Source organism: Homo sapiens, chromosome 5 (assembly GCF_000001405.40).
Source record: "Homo sapiens chromosome 5, GRCh38.p14 Primary Assembly".
Lineage (NCBI taxonomy): Eukaryota > Metazoa > Chordata > Mammalia > Primates > Hominidae > Homo > Homo sapiens.
In genome coordinates this window covers 74,533,943-74,539,942 of record NC_000005.10, presented here as the reverse complement: position 1 = coordinate 74,539,942, position 6,000 = coordinate 74,533,943, and the positions used below count along the sequence as shown (strand labels likewise).

Here is a 6,000-nt window from a genome sequence, read left to right as displayed (position 1 = left end):
GCATTGCACTCCAACCTGGGCAATAGAGCAAGACTCTATCTCAAAAAAAAAAAAAAAAAAGAAAAAAAAGAAAGAAACATTACAAATGGTGATATATTTCATGAATGAAACAGATAGGCTGCTCTTGTAGAGAAAGAACAGGTGAGTGGTGGGAAGGGCCTCTTGGGTAGGGTTGCCAGGTTACGTCTTTGGGAGATGCGGTTTTAGGCAGTGGGAAGAGGAAATTGGGGGTGTGCTGAGAGTACGTTGCTGATAGAAGGAGGCAGGGGAGTTATGGTAAAGAAATGAAGACAACCTCAGGCCTTGATTCTCTGGCAGAAATCCTTTTCAGATTTCAAATGAATATCACTAGATCTTGAATGACCAGTAAGGTTTATTATTAGATATCATTCTAAACTGCTCTTTTTTTCTTTCATCTATCACAGTGGAAATAATATAAAGGCTACACCAAGTGAGGTTTTAGATAAAAAACTTATTCCATTACATTCTGATATAGAGAAGAGATGACGTTTACACCACCAGGCTTGCTGGGTTCTAATAGAGATAAATAAGCTCTGAGTACAAGATATGCACAAGGATAACTCAACACAGCCCAACTCCTGATTGCCCCTCCTCAGCTAGAAATGGACTTGCCTTTGGCTGGGTGTGGTGGCTCACACCAGTAATTCCAGCACTTTGGGAGACCTAGGCGGGCAGATTGCTTGAGGTCAGGAGTTCAAGACCAGCCTAGCCAACGTGGGAAAACCCTGTCTCTACTAAAAATACAAAAATTAGCAGGGTATGGTGGCATGCACCTGTAATCCCAGCTACTCGGGAGGCTAAGCCATGAGAATTGCTTGAACCCAGGAGGCAGAGGCTGCAGTGAGCTGAGAACGCACCACTGCACTCCAGCATGGGTGACAGAGTGAGACTCTGTCTCAAAAAAAAAAAAAAAAAAAGAAATGGACTTGCCTTCCATGTGGCTCTAGGTCTCCCCAATGGCACTTAGAACAATCTAGTTTTTCTGCATCCATCTGTCCTCTATGGTGTCTTGTAAGTTCCTTGAGGGCAGGGATGAGTTGAACTCATTCACCAGCAAACCCATCACCCAGCATATTGCCATGCTCATGAAGACTGCTCAATGAATGGTTGAATGGTTGATATAGAAATACTTAATCTTTAGGAAGATGTGATGCTGGAAAAACAGGGCCATTTTTCCCTTTTATGGCTTTTGCACAGTGCTTGTTATAGGGAACCCACAATTATTACTGTTCTTACCAATAACTGAAAAAAGGCTGTTAGAGGATCCTTGCTTAGTTCCTTTGATGAGGCCATTGGCTCAGTGACAAGAATATTACTGAGGATGGAGAACCAAACATTGAGCTGTTTAGCAGAACTTGCAGCAGAGCTATCATTGCATCATTCTGCTGAGATGTGAAGTAATGTCTGAGCCTTCGGTTCCCACTGTAGGGCAGCTCAGCCTGTGCTCCCAGTTCGGACAGTGACATAAACCCTGCATCCTGTCTCCTGACCCTTGCTCTAGAGGCTCCAGGTCAGTCCCACAAGAGGCAACTTGGCAGCCAGGCCCATTAGGAAGTACATGCAGCCCCAGGAGGTTCTCACAAGTATAGATCAACACTGTGTTTGCCATGGAAAGTTTGGAGGAAAGACTGTACGCCACTCAGTGAAATCCTTTCCTCTAATTCTCTGCTCCTGTCCTGCTTGCAAGCAAAGGAGAACAGCACAAGGAAATTGGGAACTGCATTGTTCTGAGGCCATCTACCCAAATGAAAAACAATGTAAATATTTCACACAAATCCCAGGTCAAATTCCTGTATATACCAAAGCAGAGAAATTTCTCTGAAATGATGGTCGTGGAGAGTAGTACCAATGATGAGAGAAGTTAGGAGTAGAACCCAGAGCCAGTCTGTCCCTGCGTGATGGGTACCGGGGGAGATCCCTCCTACTGTACCACCGTTCTGCAGTCACACTACTTCCTCATTAGAAAAACGCTTTCTCAGTGGCAGGGGAAGGGTTTAAACGCTCCAGAATCTGAGCTGACAATGGGATGTTGTTGCAGGTCAGAAGTGAGAGATAAAAACAAAGATAATAAAAAGGATCAATGCCCCTAATTTGTTGATTGGCTCTCTGCCCCAGCTAAACACTCAGCCAACACCCAGGGAAACTGGGCCACAGTTAACTGGGCATTTGGGCCAGAGGCACTAAGAGGTGTTTATTATTTAGTAGTGGATTCCTGGCTGGGCACGGTGGCTCACGCCTGTATTCCCAGCACTTTGGGAGGCAGAGGTGGGCAGATTGACTGAGGTCAGGAGTTCGAGACCAGTCTGGCCAACATGGTGAAACCCCGTCTCTACTAAAAATACAAAAAATTTAGCTGGACATGGTGGCCTGTGCCTGTAATCCCAGCTACTCGGGAGGCTGGGGCAGGGGAATTGCTTGAACCAGGGAGGCGGAGGTTGCAGTGAGCTGAGATCACGCCACTGCACTCCAGCCTGGGTGACAAGAGTGAAACTCTGTCTCAAAAAAAAAAAAAAAAAAAAAAAAAGGTGGATTCCTGAGAAGTCCAGTGTGGTGCTGCTTGACTGTTGTCCTAGCTACTTGGGAGGCTGAGGGAGTATCCCTTGAGCCCAGGAGTTTGAGTCCAGCCTAGGTGACATAGATTCTGTCTCTAAAAAAATTTTTTTTTAAATTGTTGGATTCCTATGTCCATAAGGAAGACTTCAGGAATGACAAGCTTGCCTCCTAATTTGGCTCCTCCTGAAGATACAGTATGACCTGCTTTACTTTGGGTTTAACATCCTATAATTACTGTCAGATGAAGAGAGACAAAGATTCACTGTATTTCTTACTAGTTTCTTTTTTCTTTATTTTTACCTAAAACATAAGCTGAAAAGCAGCAGAAAAAGAAAGACCCAGTACTTCAGACTAGCAGTGGGGCAAAACCCCCACATTTAAAAAGAAATACTAGTTTATTATGTTTGGGGTTGGAATCACCAAGAGACCAATTAACACCTTATTTTTAGGATTAGCCATTCTGGTATTTGCAGATAGTTTCTTAAACAGGACTGTTTGGAGTTCACACTGTAGGAGTAAGTGAAGTGTTGATAAAAGAGATTCCAGAACAAATAAAGATTTCTACAGTAAAAGCTGGGGAGGTGTGTAGGGCTCCAGTCTTTGGGTTCACAGCTTGGCTCTACATTCATTGCTGGAGGAATCCAAGCCTCACAAAAGACCGCTTTTAAAGAAAAACTCTATTTTTCTTAGAAGAACTAGGTAAGTCTAGTTTTTCTCTGAAGTTTGTTTTGTTACGTGTCTCTGTTACCACCATCCATGCAGTTCTGGGGGCCTGCATTTCCCAGGATTTGTAGCTTTCGGCTGAATTGAAAGTTTCTAGCTTGGGAATCAAATCTTTGTTGTTCTTGCTTGCAACTCGTTGTTATTTTAAATTGCTTGCATAATTGCCAAGGTAATTTGCATTTAGAAGAGATTGACTGCATTTTCTTTACCCATCCTTTGCTGTATTCGTTTGGTAAGCTTTTAAAGAATAAGTTTTGTAACGGGGAAGGTGGAGGTCAGATATTGAGGGTCAATTTGGTGTCTCACTCAGAACCTGCCTCTCTGCAGCATTAATGTGGTTTCTCTATGCTGTACTTTCCCACTGCCATCTCCTGGGGAAATAAGGCGGGGGGCTTCTTTCGAAGAATCTATAAAGATTAGATTAATTACTGGCCCACAATCCCATTATGTGAACTCACAGAGCCAAAGAACATTAAAGCTGGCAGAGAATAATTTAACCTTATTTTATAGATGAGGAAACTTGGGCCCAGAGAGGAAAAATAATCCCCCTACTTCTCCCACAGTCTCAAAGCTAATTACCAGCAGAACTGGAACAGAAACCAGGTCTTTTGATTTCTAGATTAGGATTCAACAAGTATTTAACTCATTAATTAGAATTTTCCTAGTTCCAACCTGGATGTCTTTCAGAATGGGTGGCTCAATTTTTATGTTTGCTGTTAAGATTCCCTCAGGGCTGCCTGGCTAATTTTATTACTATTTTGATTTTACTCAGTCAACATTTCAGAAATTTGCAGTCTTCCCATCATCTGTGTCAGAACTATCTGTTAAAAATGCAAATCTCTAGCCTTTTCCAATCTTCAGAATCCGAGTCTCTTAGAGTGCCCCCAGGATCTGCATTTTAATAAGCTTCCTTGGAAGAGTCCAAGGCACTTGAGAACAATTTTACTTGGCTCAAAGTCAAGTAAGTTAATACATTTTGTCGATTTAAAATGTTAACGTTTTGGAAATCAGGTGGCACCTTCTCATCAATGGTCAAGTAGGAAAAAAGTTGTTTTTTACATAAATGTTGTATCTGATAATCAATAGCGACTTAGGAGTTGAGGCCATGTTAAATTTCTCTTTTAAATCCTTTAGTTACTAAAAAGCAAAAACTTAAATTTGTATCTGAATTCAATTTCATGGCATTTGATTCTTTAGTGCTTAAGTTCTTCTTTAGTAGCAAAGAAAAAATATTGGGAAATTTTATTTTTTCAGGCCATGGGCAGCCTTTACTGAACCGTTATCTCCACAACTCAAGTCCTGTTCTACAGATTTTTCAAGACTGTTCATTATAAGACTCTGCCTTCTATTTTATAGTTTTTACTTTCTGAGATTACCTCTAAATTTTCATGCATATTTATTGTAAAATTTCTAACAAAATGTAGAATGATTAACTATCTCTATATTCCTGAAAGGGTTAAGGAACTTACCATGCATTTTCTATTCATTGAATGCCACTCCCATAGTATTGCTATCTAGGTTTTTAGATTTACCTTTTAAAAACACACATTAGTTACTTAAAGTAAATAGTTAATCATATTTATCAATGATTTCTCAATTTTGGGGCTTAGCATGTGAGTGATAACACACTCAGTCTTTTTTCTTGAAAATGATTTATTTTACTCTGCTGTGAATGATAGTTTACCTGGGTATAGAAGCCTTGGTTGATAATTGGTTTTCCTCAAGGCTGTGAGAAGATTATTCTGCTGTTTTCTGGCACCCATTGTAGATGAGAGTTAGTCTAATTGTCTTTTCCTTGCAGGGCAGCTGTCTTTTTGCTTTGGAAGCTTTCAAGATTATCTCTCTGCCTTCAATGTTCAGTAGTTTCACTGAAAAATGTTTCCTGTTATAGGTTCGTTACTATGTATTCTTTTTGGCACTTGGTGTATGTAACCTTTTCTTCTGAGAACATATATCATTTTCTTCCATCTGAAAAGTTTATAGTATCTCTTTGACTATTGATTCACAGATATTTTCCCCTATTTTATTCTTGAACTCCTATTAGACATATGTTAGATCTTCTCAATATGTCTTCCATGTCTCTGAATTGCTATTTCATGTTTTTTCCCCTTCCTTAACTCTTTATTGCTCATTCTGGGTAAGCTCCTCTATATAACCTTCTAATTTATTAATTCTCCGTCTTGTTATACCCAAGACAGAGTTAATCCTGTCTATTGAGTTTTTTACTCAAATACTATGGTTTTTATTACCAGAATTTCCAACTTGTCCCTTTTAATATCAACCTGCTCTTGTTTCATTTTTTAGTTATTTTCGTTCACAATTTACTATTCATTTTTATGAATATTCCTCCTTTCTTTTTCTCCTTGATGGTTCTAACAATCCCTATTTTATTTTATTTTTATTTTTCTGAGACAGGGTCTTATTCCAGTTGCCCAGGTCAGTGTGCAGTGATGCAATCTTGGCTCACTGCAGCCTCAACTTCCCTGGCTCAAGTGATTCTCCCACCTCACCCTGTTGAGTAGCTGGGACTACAGGTGCATGTCACCACACCTGGCTAATTTTTTTGTATTTTTAGTAGAGATGGGGTTTTGCCACGTTGCCCAGGCCACAATCCCTATAGTAAATTCACTTTCAGATTCTATTACAGGCATATCTCAGAGACACTGTGGGTTCATTTTCAGTACAATGCAATAAAGCAAATGT

At 40.3% G+C, this 6,000-nt stretch overlaps 1 long non-coding RNA gene across 3 annotated transcripts in view; it reads left to right on the top strand.

Annotated features, from left to right (window-relative positions):
• Nucleotides 1–3,169: 3,169 nt before the first annotated feature.
• LINC01331 (long intergenic non-protein coding RNA 1331) overlaps nt 3,170–6,000 on the top strand; it is a 209,330-nt gene continuing 206,499 nt past the window's right edge. For all 3 annotated transcript variants that reach the window (NR_197435.1, NR_126354.2, NR_197436.1), the window contains exon 1: nt 3,170–3,273. This is a non-coding gene — a long non-coding RNA (long intergenic non-protein coding RNA 1331). The remainder of the gene's footprint in view (nt 3,274–6,000) is intronic.